Source organism: Homo sapiens, chromosome 7 (assembly GCF_000001405.40).
Source record: "Homo sapiens chromosome 7, GRCh38.p14 Primary Assembly".
In the NCBI taxonomy this organism is placed as follows: domain Eukaryota; kingdom Metazoa; phylum Chordata; class Mammalia; order Primates; family Hominidae; genus Homo; species Homo sapiens.
The window spans coordinates 102,278,272-102,295,012 of NC_000007.14; the positions used below are offsets into that span (position 1 = coordinate 102,278,272).

At 59.9% G+C, this 16,741-nt stretch overlaps 2 protein-coding genes and 1 non-coding gene across 20 annotated transcripts in view, besides 10 other annotated features; all 3 read left to right on the forward strand.

The window, feature by feature from the left end:
- The window catches only part of CUX1 (cut like homeobox 1), a 467,952-nt gene extending 462,265 nt beyond the window's left edge, over positions 1-5,687 (forward strand). For all 6 annotated transcript variants that reach the window (NM_001913.5, NM_181500.4, NM_001202545.3 and 3 more), the window contains 5 exons: positions 1,766-1,849; positions 2,533-2,589; positions 3,569-3,649; positions 4,441-4,505; positions 4,750-5,687. In NM_001913.5, coding sequence (NP_001904.2) covers positions 1,766-1,849; positions 2,533-2,589; positions 3,569-3,649; positions 4,441-4,505; positions 4,750-4,819 — 357 coding nt within the window. In that variant the 3' untranslated portion in view covers positions 4,820-5,687. The remainder of the gene's footprint in view (positions 1-1,765; positions 1,850-2,532; positions 2,590-3,568; positions 3,650-4,440; positions 4,506-4,749) is intronic.
- Positions 940-1,558: an enhancer, noted in NCBI's record as "H3K4me1 hESC enhancer chr7:101922504-101923122 (GRCh37/hg19 assembly coordinates)". NCBI's record gives its function as "activates a minimal SCP1, AML or CMV promoter by ChIP-STARR-seq in naive and primed H9 embryonic stem cells {active_cell/tissue: H9 hESC(naive and primed)}" and the evidence as "EXISTENCE:reporter gene assay evidence [ECO:0000049][PMID:30033119]".
- Positions 1,559-2,178: an enhancer, noted in NCBI's record as "H3K4me1 hESC enhancer chr7:101923123-101923741 (GRCh37/hg19 assembly coordinates)". NCBI's record gives its function as "activates a minimal SCP1, AML or CMV promoter by ChIP-STARR-seq in primed H9 embryonic stem cells {active_cell/tissue: H9 hESC(primed)}" and the evidence as "EXISTENCE:reporter gene assay evidence [ECO:0000049][PMID:30033119]".
- Positions 5,953-6,137: a silencer, noted in NCBI's record as "fragment chr7:101927516-101927700 (GRCh37/hg19 assembly coordinates)". NCBI's record gives its function as "represses an EF-1alpha promoter that drives an FKBP-Casp9 reporter gene in an ReSE screen in K562 erythroleukemia cells {active_cell/tissue: K562}" and the evidence as "EXISTENCE:reporter gene assay evidence [ECO:0000049][PMID:32094911]".
- Positions 6,870-16,741, forward strand: part of SH2B2 (SH2B adaptor protein 2) — a 36,571-nt gene continuing 26,699 nt past the window's right edge. For 5 of the 13 annotated variants that reach the window (NM_001394426.1, NM_001393990.3, NM_001393991.3 and 2 more), the window contains exon 1: positions 6,870-6,987. Coding sequence is in view for 2 of the 13 variants with exons in the window: in NM_001393995.1 (NP_001380924.1) it covers positions 6,913-6,987 (75 nt within the window). In the remaining 11 variants the exon portion in view is untranslated. Of the gene's footprint in view, positions 6,988-8,596; positions 8,824-9,389; positions 10,217-11,194; positions 11,247-16,741 lie in introns of those variants that run through there. The other 8 variants (NM_001359228.2, NM_001359230.2, NM_001393993.1 and 5 more) reach the window with 3 other exon arrangements.
- Positions 7,915-8,494: a silencer, noted in NCBI's record as "silent region_18499". NCBI's record gives its function as "represses an Ori minimal core promoter by ATAC-STARR-seq in GM12878 lymphoblastoid cells {active_cell/tissue: GM12878}" and the evidence as "EXISTENCE:reporter gene assay evidence [ECO:0000049][PMID:35858748]".
- Positions 8,565-9,104: a silencer, noted in NCBI's record as "silent region_18500". NCBI's record gives its function as "represses an Ori minimal core promoter by ATAC-STARR-seq in GM12878 lymphoblastoid cells {active_cell/tissue: GM12878}" and the evidence as "EXISTENCE:reporter gene assay evidence [ECO:0000049][PMID:35858748]".
- Positions 10,255-10,344: an enhancer, noted in NCBI's record as "active region_26421". NCBI's record gives its function as "activates an Ori minimal core promoter by ATAC-STARR-seq in GM12878 lymphoblastoid cells {active_cell/tissue: GM12878}" and the evidence as "EXISTENCE:reporter gene assay evidence [ECO:0000049][PMID:35858748]".
- Positions 11,015-11,064: an enhancer, noted in NCBI's record as "active region_26422". NCBI's record gives its function as "activates an Ori minimal core promoter by ATAC-STARR-seq in GM12878 lymphoblastoid cells {active_cell/tissue: GM12878}" and the evidence as "EXISTENCE:reporter gene assay evidence [ECO:0000049][PMID:35858748]".
- Positions 11,255-11,394: an enhancer, noted in NCBI's record as "active region_26423". NCBI's record gives its function as "activates an Ori minimal core promoter by ATAC-STARR-seq in GM12878 lymphoblastoid cells {active_cell/tissue: GM12878}" and the evidence as "EXISTENCE:reporter gene assay evidence [ECO:0000049][PMID:35858748]".
- Positions 11,745-11,824: a silencer, noted in NCBI's record as "silent region_18501". NCBI's record gives its function as "represses an Ori minimal core promoter by ATAC-STARR-seq in GM12878 lymphoblastoid cells {active_cell/tissue: GM12878}" and the evidence as "EXISTENCE:reporter gene assay evidence [ECO:0000049][PMID:35858748]".
- MIR4285 (microRNA 4285) lies at positions 14,832-14,916 on the forward strand. Its single transcript, NR_036245.2, has one exon. It is a non-coding gene; the product is annotated as a microRNA 4285 (primary transcript).
- Positions 15,833-16,586: an enhancer, noted in NCBI's record as "H3K27ac-H3K4me1 hESC enhancer chr7:101937369-101938122 (GRCh37/hg19 assembly coordinates)". NCBI's record gives its function as "activates a minimal SCP1, AML or CMV promoter by ChIP-STARR-seq in primed H9 embryonic stem cells {active_cell/tissue: H9 hESC(primed)}" and the evidence as "EXISTENCE:reporter gene assay evidence [ECO:0000049][PMID:30033119]".

Below are 16,741 nucleotides of genomic sequence, written 5' to 3' on the forward strand. Positions count from 1 at the left end.
CCCTGTCCAGATTCATTCATAAAAACTGGCCAGAAGGACCAGGCACGGTGGCTCATGCCTGTCATCCCACCACTGTGGGAGGCCGAGGCAGGAGAATTGCCTGAGCTCAGAAGTTCGAGACCAGCCTGGCCAATATGGTGAAACCCCGTCTCTACTAAAAATACAAAAAAAGTATCCGGGCATGGTGGTGCACACCTGTAGTCCCAGCTACTCAGGAGGCTGAGGCAGGAGAATCGCTGGAACCCAGGAGGCGGAGGTTTCAGTGAGCCAAGATCACACCACTGCACTCCAGCCTGGGCAACAAGAGCGAAACTCCGTCTCAAAAATAAAATAAAATAAAAATAAATAAAATAAAATTAAAATAAAATAAAATAAAATAAAATAAAAAAATAAAATAAAATATAAAATAAAATAAATAAAATAAAATAATAAAATAGTAAAGTAAAATAAAATAATAATAAATAAAATAAAATAAAATAGAAAAGAAAATACTAGCCAGAAGGGCCAGGCACAGTGGCTCATGCCTGTAATCCCAGCACCGTGAGAGGCCGAGGCGGGTGGAGTTTGAGACCAGCCTGGCCGACATAGTGAAACCCTATCTCTACTGAAAATACAAAAATTAGCCAGGCATCGTGGCACGTGCCTGTAGTCCCAGCTACTCAGGAGGCTGAGGTGGGAGGATCACTTGAGCCCAGGAGGTACAGGCTGCAGTGAGCTGAGATCCAGCCACTACACTCCAGCCCAGGTGACAGAGCAAGACCCTGCCTCCAAAAAATAAAAATAAATAGGCTGGGCATGGTGGCTCAGGCCTGTAATCCCAGCGGTTTGGGAGGCTGAGGCGGGCGGATCATTTGAGGTCAGGAGTTCCAGACCAGCCTGGCCAACATAGTGAAACCCCGTCTCTACTAAAAATATAAAAATTGGCTGGGCGTGGTGTCATGCACCTGTAATCCCAGCTACTCAGGCGGCTAAGGCAGGAGAATCGCTTGAACCTGAGAGGTGGAGGTTGCAGTGAGCCGAGGTCACACCATTGCACTCCAGCCTGGGCGACAGAGCGAAACTCTGTCTCAAATAAATAAATAAGCAATAATAAAAAATGTAAACAGAATTTGGTCCACACTCCAAAAAGCAACCAAGAGAGTGGATCAGAAACTCACTTGCCGAGTTTTTCTGGGCTAGGGAGGCCTGTGCGTGGCTTCTCTCAGCCCCCAGGCCTCCCAGGGGCCACCCCGTGCCAGGAAACCCTTTCTATGAGTGAGAGAAGAGCGTGGGGCATAGTGGGGCAGGGATTCACCTCTCCCTCTTCCTTTGGGGCCCAGCAGCCCCCAGCCCTGTCCCCACCCATCAGAGCCGCTCCTTGGCCACCAGAGGGCACTCAGACTCTGCAAACCAGCCTGGCTCTGGGTGGCCAGCTGGGGGGCGTCTCCTCTCCCAGCTGCCTGCCTGCTCGCATGACCACCCCACACTCCCAGCAAACCCACCTTCCTGCAGCTGCGCCCGGCCCTGCCTGGGCCTCAGTTCCCCATCTGTGCCCGGAGGCACTGTGGCCCTGACCCCATGGGTAACTCCATGCCCCTGTGGCAGGAGGCACCAGCCACATTCACATTGTCACCCCAGCACCCTCTCCTCCCGCCTCTGAGATCTAGGGCTCCCTCCCCCACTTCCCTTTTTTGCAGATGAGGAAACTGAGGCTCCCCTGGGCTCCTGCCCTTCCCGCTGGGCCCCAAGGCACTGACTGGTTCTCTTCCCCTCCCTGTCTGTGCAGGGCAGCGGCAGTGATGACACGGAGCTGCGGTACTCGTCCCAGTACGAGGAGCGCCTGGACCCCTTCTCCTCCTTCAGCAAGCGGGTTCGTGAGCCCAGCCTGGGCAGGGGAGGGGAGGGGCATCAGCCCAGGGAAGCCCAGGGGTCCCCCCATCACTTGGCCCCTATCCCTGAGCACTCGGCCTTCCCTGGCTCCCCTCCACCTGCCCTTGTCTGGGTGCTCTCGGCCAGCCTTGCCACGCCAGCCCTGCACACCCTGGCCCCTCAGGCCAGGAGCCCCCCCAAGACAGCCTCCCCACCGCTTCAGTGCAATGTAGGCCCAGGGCCCATTCAGGAACACCTGCCGAGGACTACCCGAGGGTGTGTGGCAGTGACCGGGTTAACCTGGAGTGCATTTGCGGGACAGGCAGACAAGGAAAAACCAGTTACAGCTCCCAGAATCGGGCGATCCATTGTGGGGACCCCACCCCACAACTCCCCTCCCCCACCCAGACTGCAGAAGTTCTGCCCGTGGAGTACTTTCCCATGGGCAGAATGGACGGCTGCAGAGGCGGGGAGGGGCTCTCACAGATGTCAGGGGAGTCCAGAATGTCACACTGAGTAGACTGTGCACCCAGGGAAGCCCCTGGCAGCACCCTGGCAGCCCCCTGGGGGTCTGCAAGAACAGCGGGCAGGGTGTCCTGTGGCTGGCCAGGCCCTGCTCTCTGCCACAAGCCAGGGCCTGTGAGGTCCTTTGGGGTCCTTTCCTGACTGTCCCTCCCTGTGCAGGAGCGGCAGAGGAAGTACCTGAGCTTGAGTCCCTGGGACAAGGCCACCCTCAGCATGGTGAGTCCCTGCCCCTACCCACCCCCTCCCTGGACAGGCCTGAGCCTCTGTCTCCAGGCACCTCTTCACCTGCCCTGCAGCCCAGGCTGGAGGAGCCGCCAGCCCTGCCAAGAGTGGCTGTGTGATCTGGGACAGGGTCTCTCCCCTTCCCGGGCAGATCCTCTGAGAGCATGGTTCACAGCATGGTTCTGAACTGGGCTGTAGAGGGGGCATTCCTCAGAATTCCTGCAGCCTAGAGTCAGACATGGTGGCTCACACCTGTCATCCCAGCACTTTGGGAGGTGGGAGGATTGCTTGAGCCCAGGAGTTCGAGACCAGCCTGGGCAACACAGTAAGATCCTGTCTCTACAAAAAATAAAATTAGCCAGGCGCAGTGGTGTGCACCTGTAGTCCCAGCTACTCAGGAGGCTGACGGAGGAGGATCACTTGAGCCTAGGAAGTCAATGCTACAGTGAGCTGTGACCACTACATTCCAGCCTGGGCAACCTTGTCTAAAAAAACGTTTTTAAAGAATTCCGGTGGCCGGGCACAGCAGCTCACGCCTGTAATCTCAGCACTTTGGGAGGCCAAGTTGGGCGGATCACCTGAGGTCTGGAGTTCGAGACCAGCCTGGCCAACATAGTGAAACCCTATCTCTAGTAAAAATACAAAAATTAGCTGGGCGTGGTGACGCACACCTGTAATCCCAGCTACTCAGGAGGCTGAGGCAGGAGAATCACTTGAACCCAGGAGGTGGAGGTTGCAGTGAGCCAAGATCACACCACTGCACTCCAGCCTGGGCGACAGAGGGAGACTCTGTCTCAAAAAAAAAAGAATTCCAGCAGCCCATGTCCCTGGCCCATAATGATGGAATAGGGGCCCCAGCTTCCTGTCCCTTCCCTCCCCTTGCCACCCTAGGGCCCTTTCTGTGAAGCCCAGGCAGCCCTGCAGGGGTGGGTGAGGCCGGCCCCATCCCCACTCACCCCCTCCTTGCTCCCAGGGGCGTCTGGTTCTCTCCAACAAGATGGCGCGCACCATCGGCTTCTTCTACACACTGTTCCTGCACTGCCTGGTCTTCCTGGTGAGTGTGCACACGGGCGGGCCAGAGGCACATTCACCATCCCCAGCCCTGACCTCCAGGGCAGCAGGGGCCTGTTACGGTGGCCTGGCCCCTGGGCCTACCCCAAGCTGCATCTCTAGCTTGCGGCCATGCCTCTCCCCTTCGAGAGCCTTGGCCCACCCCAGGGACGAGAAGGACCCACCCCATTGGGACCTCTGGCCAGGGCACCAGCCGGGCCGCTCCGTGAAAGAGGCCTGGCTGATCACATCTGGGACTGGTCCTGAACGGGCTTCATAGGAAGAAGGGATGGAGTGGGAAGGGAGCAGGTCTAATGAACTCCACCAAGGGACAGTCACGAAGACTGCACAGAGAAGGGGCGTCTTGAACTAACCTCCCCAGCTGTGGAGGTGGCGTTCTAGTTAGCGGATAAGGGCCTCCATGTCTGCCAAGTTGGGGGAGAAGAGGGGTGGAAGGCTGTGTCTCTGGAAGGATCCAGCCTTGGGGACTCCTGTCCCCCGCACAGTCAAGATGGCCCCTACAGAGCTAACCTGGGCTCAAGTTCTGACCCCAGGGTCCAGCGGCTCCTGGCCCTTCCAAGGGTTGGCCCACAGTATTAGAGGAGGTGCCTCCGTGTCTGGGCCCATCTGATCATCTGCAGAAGCAGTGGGTGCAGGAACATGTCTAAGACCCACCCGCCCCGGAGTCTGGGGCTCGAGAACCTTTATGTTCCAGGCCAGGCCCAGGGGCCATGGGTGGGCTGCAGGGGTGGCCTTGAGGCGAACGGGCAGCTCACCGTGTCTCCACCTGGCCAGGTGCTCTACAAGCTGGCATGGAGCGAGAGCATGGAGAGGGACTGTGCCACCTTCTGCGCCAAGAAGTGAGGACCCCCACTTGGGCCCCCCCTCAGCCCCACAGCGAGCTCCCAGCACCCCCGCAACACCCCCGAGTTCCTGCCTCATGTCCCCCACTCCTTAGCCCTCCATCACAGCCCCCCATTCTGGCCCTCCCCCTACCCCTACTCCCGGTATCCACTACCCCCTAGCCCCACCCCATCACATGGTACACACCCCCCTTCCCCAACACACACACTCGGCCTCAGCAAAGCTTCCCGTGTCCCCCAGGTTCGCTGACCACCTGCACAAGTTCCACGAGAATGACAACGGGGCTGCGGCTGGTGACTTGTGGCAGTGATACCCCGGGGCCTCCCCCGTGACAGTGACGGCTGCGCCTCCACCCCGACTGCTCAGTGCATCTAATCACTTAGACTCCCCTGAAGAATCCCCCATGGAAACTGCCCTTATCCGCTGTCCAGCAGCTGCCAGAGGCCCCAGGTCACCTCGGGTCCCCTTGAAAGAATGTCTCGGTCACATCAGGCCCGCTAGGTCCAGAGAGCGAGCCCCCAATGCCCGGCCAGGCTAAGCCGCAGAGACCCTCTCAGCCCCCACCTCAGGTTAGGGCTCTGCCCGCAGCCTGACCTCTAGCCCTGGTGGCAGAGGTCCCTCAGCTGCGAGGCTAATTGGGTGACCACCGATTCCAGCTGCGGTTAATCCAGCTTGGGCCTGTCTGCACTGCGATCCTCTTGGGCTCTCCTAGGATCCCCCCATGCCCCGTAAGAGGTGGAAGACGCTTCCTTCCAGGACAGCAGGCTTTGAGTCCAGCACCCCCAGCCTGCCTTTGCCACCAGCCCCACCCTGCAGAGTATATGAGGCTTGACAGAGTCTGCCCCCTCCCCCACTGCACCCCAAGAGAGAGAGCCCCAGCCAGCGGAACAGTTTCTATTACCCCCTCCCTGCCCCCAGACCCATGTGATTTCTGCTTTCTTCTTTAGCAAGATATTCTGGTTTCTAGATAAGGAAGAGTCTCTAATGAGCCCCCGAGCCCCAGTCTCTTCAGACTCATGGATTGGTATGAGGGGTCTGAACGTCTCCTAGCCAATCAGAACTGGCTGTGGACCACCCTAGCACGGCCACCTCTCAGGGCCACTGGCAGGCCTTCCTGAGTTAGATTTGTAGTTGCATATTTAGCTTTGCACATTTGAAATAAACCACGGTTGCAGCCACCCTGGTGCCCTGTGCTCTGGGACGCTGGAGGGACTGGAGGCTGGTGGGGATGCCTGCGGTGCCACCCCTGGGAGCTGGGGCTGGCCTCACAGCTGGGCACACAGAACATTCCTCCCCCTCTTCTCATCTCCAGGAATTCCATGAGTACATTCAGAGCTCTGCTGAAACCCAGATCCAGTGTCCGAGTGCTTTTGAGAGGACAAGTAGCACCATCAAAAAGGGAAACCCATTCCTTTATTCAAAAACCACCCGGGGCCAGGCGCGGTGGGTCACACCTGTAATCCCAGCGCTTTGGGAGGCCGAGGCAGGTGGATCACTTGAGGTCAGGAGTTCGTGACCAGCCTGGCCAACGTGGTGAAACCCCGTCTCTACCAAAAATACAAAAATTAGCTGGGCATGGTGGCGCATGCCTGTAATCCCAGCCACTCAGGAGGGTGAGGCAGGAGAATCGTTTGAACCCGGGAGGCGGAGGTTGCAGTGAGCTGAGATCGTGCCAGTGCACTCCAGCCTGGGAAACAGAGTGAGACTCCATCTCAAAAAAAAAAAAAAAACCACCTGTCGGGCTGTGGTTGGGTGTATGACGTGTCTTGGTCCACGTCAGTTCCTGGGGAATCTCTGCTTCCCTTTCTGTGCTCCCCTTTCCCATGGGCCCCCGCCTGCCAGGGGCTGCAAAGCCCGTGCCCATCAATCTCCCTGAGCACCAGCCTCGCATGGGAACCCCCCGAGACACAGGTTCTGGGCCACCTCACCTCCAGCCCAGCCTCAGATAGAGGAGCGCATTCTCTGGGTCTGGAGTGGGTGCATTAACTCATTGTCCAGCTGTCACAAGACTGGCTGCAAACCCAGGTCCCCCACTGCAGCCCACCAGGCCAGGGTCCCCTGTGCTACCTCTGTCTCCATTTTAGTTCTGAACAGTCTAAAGCATGTGTATCCAGGGGCCTTTCTTTGGGGTCCCCGTCCCAGCACCCCTCATCTCCCCCATGAGGACTTCTTCCAAGCCCCTCAAGCCTCCTGCCCTCAGGGACCCAGGATGGACCTTTCCTCCCTGACCTTCATTCCTATCCCCAGCGAGGCGACAGCTGCTCTTGGCCAACCACGCCCCCTCCACCCCCACAGCCACTTCCACATCTCCATCAGTTCCTCCTTGTGGGTCCGAGGCGCTCTGCCGCCGGCCCCTCCTCACTTCTTCCTCCCTGGGGATGGATCCAAGCTATTGTCCTGCCCATGGCTTCCCATCTCAGGACCCTCTCTGGCCGCTATCATCCCAGCAGTGGAGTTCAGCCCACTACTCTGAACCAGGTTAGTCCACCGCGGGTCAGGCTCTCCCCTCTCCCAGGAGGGTGGAGACCACAACCAGGCCATGTATGGAGCTTCCCTTTCTCCCACTCTCGGGCACCCCCTCCTCCCCCTTCCCGGCCTCATTCATAGGTGTCCTGGTTCCCAACCAGGCGTGCAGGCCTGTGTGCAGCTCCGATCGAGGGCTGGCCCACTGCCGAAGCTTTCATTAAAGTGTCTGCTGGCCTGGTCCTGCGGAGGGAACAGAGCCGAGATGTGGGGCAGGGAAGGGGTCTGCCTGTCTTCCGTGCCCCCGTGGAGGGCAGCACCGGGGTTTTGGGCAGCAGGTGAAGGCTCTGTCCCCTCCACCTTCAACTCTGGAAGCCCCACCTTTCCATCCCTAAGAAGGGTTTGATAAAAACCCTTGTCTGTAAATTAGAGATGGGAAATGGCTCTGGGAAAAGTCAGAGGTCAGTTTGGGCCCGGGAGGGCGACAGATGGAGGCAGCTCCGGCTGGCAAGGAGACCAGGACAGAACTGCCAGAGGTGGGGGCAGGGGACAAGGAGGGAGATGAGGGGAGAAGACACCCAGGGGTCCCCCCCTGCTATCTCCAGGAGCAAGACTACTCTCTTCTCTGAGCGGCCCTTTCCACACCTCTGCCCCCACCGAAGCCCTCCCTCCCCTCTCAGACCCCTTCCAGGCCTGCTGAGCCCCCTGCACCTCTTTCAGGAAGCCTCCCAGAGCCCCCGCGCTGTGCCCTCAGCACCAGGGGTCAGGCTACAAATGCCCCGCAAAGCCCAGCGGGACTGTTTCCTCAGCCCCACTGGTCTCTGCCCTAAAGCAGGCGAGTTCTGGAGCCAGGCAGGGGTGAGGAAGGTGCCAGGGTTGTGGCCCCTCATCGCCCCTCTATGATCTCTGACACCTCTCCGGGTGGCATCAGGCCCCCATCACAGCGAAGGCTGGGTGGTGGGGGCACTGCGCTCAGGGGGGCCGTCCCGCCCTGTGGCCCGGGGGCGATTTCCCGCACCGGAGGGCTGCAGGGAGGGGGCGTGGTGGCGCCCTCGAGATTTATGAGAACCAGGCGTCGACTTCCTCCGTTGCGACATCCAGGCCTCCTCCAGGCTCCCATTGTCCCTGCTGCGGAGAGTCTGGCCACAGCGGCGGCTCCCGCGAAGCACCCGTCAGCGAGGGGCGCTTCGAGGGCGTCCGCGTCCCATACACCCGCCACGCAGGACATTCCCCCGGCCCCACGCTCCGCGCTCCCGGGGCCACCACCACCGCGGGCTCGAGGGGTGGCCTCCACGAGGAGGAGTGGGAGTCCCGCGCCTGGCCTGGGGCCGGCTCGGCGACATGGGGACCCCCGCCCAGATGGGGCGACTCGGAGCCGGCTCCTAACCCCTCTCTCCGGGCCCCAGGACCGGGCAGTCTCGGCACCGCAGCTGCGGGGAGCCAGCAAGCACCGGCCACCGGCGCCGCTCGGGCTCCGCGGATGGCCGGGGGCGGGGCCTGAGCGGCGCAAGTGGGGGCGGGAGGGGGCGGGGCCAGGACGCGCGAGGGGGGGCGGGGCCGGGGCTCGCGGCGGGGGCGGGGGCGGGGCGGGGCCGGGAGGCGCGCGCCTCGCGGGCGGAGGGGCGCGCCGCGCTGGGGCTGGGCTTGGAGCGCGCGGAGCTCGGCTGCCAGAGAGCCGCGCGGGGGACGCGCCGGGACCGCGAGGAGCGCAGGAGCCTTCGAGGCGGTGAACGAGGGAGGGAGCCCAGTCCGCCGCGGGCCATGAGCCACCGGGCCCGGGGAGCCCGGCCGCGGTCCGGGCAGCGCTCAGCCGGCGCCCCAGCCCGCTCGGCCGCAGCTGCGCGCCTGTAGGTATGGCCTCCTTATACCCAGTTCCTCGCTCCCTGGTCCTTCCCCCGGGACCCCTGTCTGTCCCCGGGGACGTGCGCTGTGTGCGCACCGCTGCCCGAAGGAGAGCGGCCGCACGCGCCTTGGTCCGCGCGTGTCGTCTTTGTGTGCGCGGGTGGGAGGGAGGAGGGCGCGCGAGGGAGGGGAGGCGCCCCCGGCTGGGATCTGCTCCCCGATCCCCATCCCGGGCGGGGCGGGGAGCCGCTGGAGGGGCCGAGCCGCCTCTGGAGCAGCTGCGCCCCCGCCCCCTGCTAGGGCCCCGGCCGGGTAGTGGGGCGAGAGCAGCCGGGTCCTTAGAGGAGGGGTCTCTGGTTGGGGGAAGGGGTGCCCAGGTCTCTTCCCTACGCTGGGAGCGCTGGGAGGGGGCGTCAACCTAGAATGAGGGTGAGGGCCACGGGATGGGATCGGGGAGGACCTCCTCCAGGCCACAGGCACGCCCTCCCTTTGGCCCAGGCCCCCCTTTCTCGACCTGCCCAGCCGGGGAGCTCCCCGGAGCCCCCGATTGCCGGGAGGATCGTGGAGGGTGCCCAAGAGGCCGGCGCCTTTAAGAAGGGGCGGGTTCGTGCCCTCCATTCAGGCCCTTGGGCCTCGGCCATTGATGAACCTGCGGGCTGCGCGGGCCGGAACCGCGCCAGCCCAGCGGGCTGAAGCCGGGCAGAGGCAGGGACGCATCCTGGCCCCCTGCAGCCCCGAAGTGGGGGCCTTCAGGGAGGGAAGTCTGCAGTGACTGGAGCCTCTCAGGAGCCACGCAAGGCAGACCGGGCAGCCCCAGGCGAGACTCTGAACACGAATAAGCCAGGATCTACGTGCACTTCGAGCTAGTGCAAGGGAGAGCCTCAGGCTAGGCTGTCAGACCTGGGTGGAGCCCTACCAATGCCCCCGAGCCAACATCACCTACCCTGTAAAATGGGATGGTGCTGCCTGCCTCCTGGCTAAGGGACCGGCAACTCCCGGCAGGAATTGCGTCCCAGAGTCAGGTCCCTGGAGCTCCTCTGGGAGGACTGGGGGCAGGGGGTGTGGTTTCCCCAAGAGGTTTTGACTGCCTCTTGAGCTGAAGCCCCCACTACTGTGTCCCACCTTGAACTCTCCCAACCTCTTCCCTCCTGGCCTCCCCACTCCACGCAGGAAGAGGTTGGGAGAGTGACCTAGAACTTTTCAGCTCCAGGAGCTTTGGGAGAGGTCTGGTGGTGGCGGTGGTGGCACTTCTTTTAGGCTAGTGTGGATCAGGGCATTTTTGGGGGTCTCAGAGACAGTTTCCCACCAGCTACTTCCTTAGAGGTCTGTCCTACCAACATACAAGAACAGCCCCACCCCGTGGCAGGCCGGCTTCTGATGCTGCTTGGTTGAATGCTTCTAGGTAATCAAGGGTTAATGCACACGCTTTTCTTTTTACCCTTGTTGTGAAAAATCTGTCTGAAGTTTCTAAATCCCTCTTCCCTACTTAGCGTGAATCTCCTAGGGAGGACTTCTATACAAATACCCAGGGGTGGGCTTCCCTTGGGGGTCTTGGAAGTGGGATCTCCACCCAAGTGATCCTGGGCCTCCCAGGGCTGAGCTTTTGGTTTCAAACTTACTTGTGCCAAGCTAAGGGCATCAGGATCGCCGTTCGTGTCATCTTTACAACAATCCTGTGGGTTTAGTGCTATTATTATCCCCACACACTTAGGGAGGGGAAGTGACTGGCCCAAAGTCCCGCAGTCAACGAGCCAGGCCTCCCAACCACTCCTCTCTGACAAGAGGCTGGCACTTCTTGCCCTGCCTACCCAGCCTGGGTTGCAAGGAATTGGGGGTTTAGGGGCTTCAGGCCTCCTGGCTGCTGTCTTCCCGGGGCTACGCTCATTCTTACTGTCCAAGTGAGGCCAGGGGACTGGTCAGAGCCCTGGGGCCTGGGGAGGTTTCTCTTCCCTGCTCACCTGGCTGGGTGCCGTTTTATGGCTATGCTCTGTCTAGGGGGATAGCAGGTGTGACCCCTCAACACGAGGTCACAGCCCACACCTGTTTGGGCAGAGCAAGGCAGGGCATCGCTGTGTGGGCGTGCAGCATCTTTTGGTTCCTCTGGGTGAAGCAGGGTTTGGGCCCCATTCTCCACATACTTCCGGGCCATCTGAGGGTAGCGCCCACCTGGGGGGTGGGGAGGACAACCAGCCAGGAGCTCACGGTTCGGTGGAAGAGACAGGCCACAGCCATGTGGTGTGGTGGAGGGGCAGGGGGCAAGGGTGGAGGTGGGAAGAGGATCAAGGGGCGTTCCCGAGGCCTCTGTGGGCTTGGGGGCCTGCCTGCTATTGGGGCAGAACAGGGGAAGTAGGCAGTGCCCAGCTGGGTGCTGAGGCTCTGTGCAGAGGACAGGCAGGAGTTGGAGGAAGAGGATGTATTTGAACTTGGATGTGGTGAGTTTGAGGTACCTGGAGATCAGCCAGGCTGGGAGTTGAGCTCAGAGAAAGGCCCAGGGAAGCTTTATTAGCACCTGTAGTCTCCAGAGTTCGGGGATGCTCAGATCTTAGGGGTGCCACCAGAGGTCTCAGGAGGCACTGGTATGAGTGTCCTGGAAAAGCCAGAAGGCAGCTGGGTGGGATGAGTTGGTGAGGGGCACTAAGGGGGTATCCTGCAGGTTTAGGGGGCTGGGCCAGGGCCCATGTGAGAGTTATGACACTGGGGGAGTGGAAGGGGCTGAGTGTCTCAGGCCAAGGCTGGAGATGGGAGGGGGGAACCTCTGCTCTGCAACCCCAGAAAGGCAGGGTGGGGTGGGAGTAACCAGGGCCAGTGCAGCTGGAACCAGCTCAGCCTGTCCTCCACCTGCAGAGCCCATCCAGGAACTGTCCAGCACTGGGTGCTCCTGAAGGAGGCTGAGTCTGCCTCTTGAGCCCACAGGCCCTGGCTTAGCTTGTTGTCCTGGCCCCCACTCCCTGCTTATCTGACCCGCACTTCCTGCAGAGCCCAGCTGTGGATTCCCCCGCCCCCCCACCCAGCCGCTCAGAGTGCCCCATCCTCTAAAGGTGGTCATTTCCTTTCCTGAAACAGGGATTCAGTCTTCCCACTCTGCCCTTGGAAGCGGAGTTCCCCAGAAACAGGTCTCAGAAAGGGACCAGCCTGGAACTTGGCTCCATACCCCCCTTTTTTTTTTTTATTTTTTTGAGACAGAGTCTTGCTCTGTCGACCAGGCTGGAGTGCAGTGGCGTGCAACCTCAGCTCCCTGCAACCTCCGCTCCCTGCAACCTCCACCACCTCTGGGGTTCAAGCAATTCTCATGCCTCAGCCTTCTGAGTAGCTGGGGTTACAGGTGTGCACCACCACGCCTGGCTAATTTTTGTATTTTTAGTAGAGATGGGGTTTCACCGTGTTGGCCAGACTGGTCTCAAACTCCTGACCTCAAGTGATCCGCCCTCCTCGGCCTCCCAAAGTGCTGGGATTACAGGTGTGAGCCACTGCACCCGGCCTCCCCTCTTGTCCATTCTGCAGCCCTGGACCCTCCCACCTGGCGTCTGACACACAGTGGGAGCTCACCACTGCGTGGTGGCCAGAGCATGGTGGGTAGTCACCTCCCTCCCCAGAACCCCATTTCTTCATCTCTGCAATGGAGAAACAACTCTTTCTTACAGGGAAGATGTGAGGGGAGAAGGGTTTTAACAGGGGCATGGCCCACTGAAATGTGGGTTCTAGAACGCTGACCTTGGCCACATTGGAGGCTGGGTTTATGTGTTGGGGCAGTGGGTACCTCTGCAGCTGCCTGCCAAGAGCAGTTGGAGGAAAAGGGAATGAATAGAGCTGTGATTTTTAAACAAATTGCTTATTTAATCTTCATGACAGCCCCTTAAGTTTAGCACTGCTGTCACCTCCATCTTAACAGATGGGGAAACTGAGGCTCCAGAGTCCAAGGGGTCATTTCACTGGGTAGCAAGGCAGCTGGGATCCAAACCCAGACAGTCTGGCTCCAGATCTCAGACTTTTAACACTGTCCCAGCATGTCAAATGACCAGAGGTGGCCATAGGGAGATGCCCAGGCAGTGGGGCTCCCTTTGCTGGGGAACAACTGTCAAAGGCAACTGTGGGAACCCCTGGGACTGAGGGTCTGCAGACGCCGGTGCCAGCAGGGCTTGTCAAGCTTGGGATGTCTGCAAAAGCCGGGGGGCTCAGCAGAAGGGCTCCCACCCTCCCGTGGCGGTGGCAAAGGCTGAGCGTGGCATGAGAGGCCTGGGGTTGTCCTGGGTGCAGGGCTGTTGCAATAGCTGCCTCCAAGCGATGCTGCTCAGGCCGAGCCTTGGACTAGAAAGTTATCTGCACGGAAGAGCAGCTAGGGAAACTAATGCTCAGAACAGCCAAGACCACTAGTACCTAATCACCCATACAGAGGCATACAAGTCCCAAGGGCTCTGAATCCACACCTGTCCCCATCGCCAGCCAGAAGGCCCCCACCCATCCACTCTGCAGCAAAGTCACAGCAAGTTCAAGGGTTAAGTTAAGACCAGAAGCCATGCCTACTTTGCCTTCTGCCGGGGTGGTGGAGTGAGCTCAGATATTCTGGGAGGGGAGAGTTGGGGAATTCCAGCCACATCTGGCAGGAGGCCCTGGTTCAGAGCCTACCTTGTGGGGATGTGGTCTCTGCGGAGGTGAGCAGTAACACGGGCTTGAAAACCAACGCCCACGTATTCAGCAGTGAAGCAGAGACTGCGCTGTGTGCTGTGTTCCTGAATCTGCAGGGGAGAGAGAGACTCATACCTAGTCAGCGGGTGGGAGTCACTCCAGGCCGGAGGGATGACCTGCCCAAAGAGCATCTGTGTCCTGCCCAGGGAGGGGTGCAGAGAGGAGGCTGCAGGGGTGGAAGGGACTGCCCCACCGAGGCCAGGAGGGTGCTTGAGGAACAGCAGGATTGAAGGAGCCTATGTTGTCCAGAGTGAGGCTGAGTGGGCCAGGCCAGTGCTGCTAAGGTCCTGAGGACCCCTAAGGGCAGTGGACATGAGAAGGCATGGCTGGGCAGGTTTTCTGAGGATGGTGGAGGTGAGCAGAGTGAGGCCTTGTCTCTTGTGTCAGGCAAGGAGGTACCCCAAGAAGAGGCTGCATGAGACCAGCCTGGGCAACATAGTGAGACCCCCATCTCTACCAAAATATCAAAAAATTACCTGGGACCGGGTGCACTGGCTCACATCTATAATCCCAGCCCTTTGGGAAGCTGAGGTGGGCGGATCACCTGAGGTCGGAAGTTCGAGACCAGCCTGGCCAAGATGGTGAAACCCTGCCTCTCCTAAAAATACAAAAATTAGCCGGGCTTGGTAGGACGCACCTATAGTCCCAGCTACTCGGGAGGCTGAGGCAGGAGAATCGCTTGAACCCAGGAGGCGGAAGTTGCAGTGAGCCAAGATCACGCCATTGCACTCCAGCCTCGGCAACAGAGCAAGACTCCGTCTCAAAAAAAAAAAAAAAAAATTACCTGGCCATGGCGTCTTGTGCCTGTAGTCCCAGCCACTTGGGAGGCTGAGGCAGGAGAATTGCTTGGGCCCAGGAGTTCAAGGCTGCAGTGAGCTATGTTCAAAGTGCAGTGCACTGCACCCCAGCCTGGGCCACAGAGTGAGACTTTGTCTAAAAAGAAAAGGCCTCAGTTTCCCCATAGCGAATGGTTCATTGGGGGGTAGGTGGCACTGCCCACCCCAGGACATAGGAGAGAACCCTTAGTTCTGACCGTCTCCCCCTTCATGCACTTGGTTCTCTGACTGCTGCTCTGAGGACGGAGCTAAGTGAGGGTGCAGGAGGAAGGGGGGGTCTCTTGGCAGTGGGGCGCAGCCTTTTGAGGTGCTGCATAGCTAGTTTGACCTGTGGGACCACTGACCATCCCTCCTCTTCCCGGTGCTCCTGGCCTCCTGTGGCTGGGATGGTGCTGGGGAGGAGGTGGGGGGTGCCAGCTGGAGGTGGGCGGGGCTCCTGCCTCTCCCCGCCCCCAGGGCCACCGCCCACTGTGCCGCGCATCGATTGGTCGCGGGCCCATTAGGCGGGGCGGCGAGTCCGACTCATAAATATTTTAAGGAATGACCCGGCCCTGGGGTGCGGAATTGCTGCGCGGGCGGGGGCTGAAGACCGGCTTTTTTTTTTTTTTTTTTTTTTTGGTCCTCCAATTGTCAGCGCTATTTTTACCGCCGGAAAGCCGCCGCCCCCTCCCCCATGCCGGCTGGACCTACTGTCTAGCCGGGCTGGTGGCTGGGGTCTCTTGTCTGGGTTGCTGGTCGTGGGGTTAGGAGAGGCCGTGGCCTGGAAAGGCGATGAGCAGGGACTCCATTAGACTTCCCCTGCCCTCCTCGCTCCATCCCCCAGCACCAAAAACCACTCTGAAGCCCCCATCCCATCAGAGATGGGGAAAAAAAAAACACATTTTTTCAGGAGGAGAAGGCAGACAGCCCAGCTGAGCCTAGAAAAACCGGAGGTGGGGGGGTGTAATGGATGGGGGGAGGGTGGTCTACCCGCCCAGTGCTCCGAGGAGGGCCAGCACCACAGGGGGCCCTGGCTGGGCTTCCTTTGTCTCCAACGCCAGTCCTCAGAGAAGCAGCCTGTGAGGGGGAGAGGCAACCCCCTACCTGTCCCTAGTCCCAATGGAATGACAGCCCAGTCTTCAATGTCCAAGGCCATCACTTCTGCATCAAAATCAGGAGCCCCTAGAAGCCACACACAGCTCCAGCAATCCCATTTTACTGATAGGGAAGTGGAGGCACCAAGAGACACAGGGCCCGGCCCAGGATAGAGTCCAGATCTCCCAGAGCCCAGTCCAGCACTGCCTGGCACCAACTCAGCTGGTCTGTTTGGACACCTTGGGACCATAGGAGGAGAGCTGACCACCAAGAGAGTTAAAGACCATAGGGTCTTGGAGATCAGAGGGGGAGAGCAGTATAGGGAAGTTTTCCTGGGAGAAGAGAAGGTTTTGTTTCGGTTTGGTTTTTTGAGACAGAGTCTCGCTCTGTTGCCCAGGCTGGAGTGCAGTCGTGCAATCTCAGCTCACTGCAGCCTCAACTTTCTGGGTTAAAGTCCTCCTGCCTCAGTCCCCCAAGTACCTGGGACTACAGGCGTGTGCCACCACACCTGCCTAATTTTTGTATTTTTAGTAGAGACGGGGTTTCACCATGTTGCCCAGGCTGCTCTCGAACTCCTGAGCTCAAGTGATCTACCTGCCTCGGCCTCCCAAAGTGCTGGGATTACAGGCTTGAGCCACCACATCCAGCCAGAAGAGAGGGTTTTGCACGGTCTAAAGGGAGGGGAGATGTTGAATAGTCGGAAGAGCAAAGTCCCTAGAGAGGGCTTGAAACACCAACCTTGGCAGCACCAAGGTTGGAGGAGCTCCCGCCCTGCCCATGCCTGCACATGGGTTATAACATTGCAGACACCACCTCCTGTGCCATCTTGCCAGTGAGTGGTCAGAAAGTGAGAAGAGTGGGCTCAGAGGTTGGGAGTGTGGTCAGTGTCACTCACTCAGGGAGCACCCACGGGGTCACGTCTTGAGCCCAGGTCAGCCAAGCTCCCTACATGGGGTCTCCTCCCCAGTTCTGGTCCCAAAGATGGGTGGGGACAGTGCACTCCTGCCCCTGCCACAGCCAGGCCCCCTTCCCTGTGTCTTGCAGCCTCCCCTCTACAGAGAACCATGTCCGGGCCTCCCTCTCTCCATCTGTAGCCAGGTGGGGGCCTCCCTGCTGGCACTGCTGTTTGGAGACTTATACCTCTAGCTGCTCAACCTGCTTCCTCTGCATCCGGGGCTGGACCTACTGAGGGCTTCTGTGCCAGGCATCAGGCCCACAGGCTCCTGGGTGGCCTGCAGGGTTAGGTAGGAGAGGTCAGGGCAGTCCCAACCTCCCAGTGCCTCCCAGGCCAGTCCCTGCCTAGGACCTGGCCACACCTGCCATGCCCTTGGAAG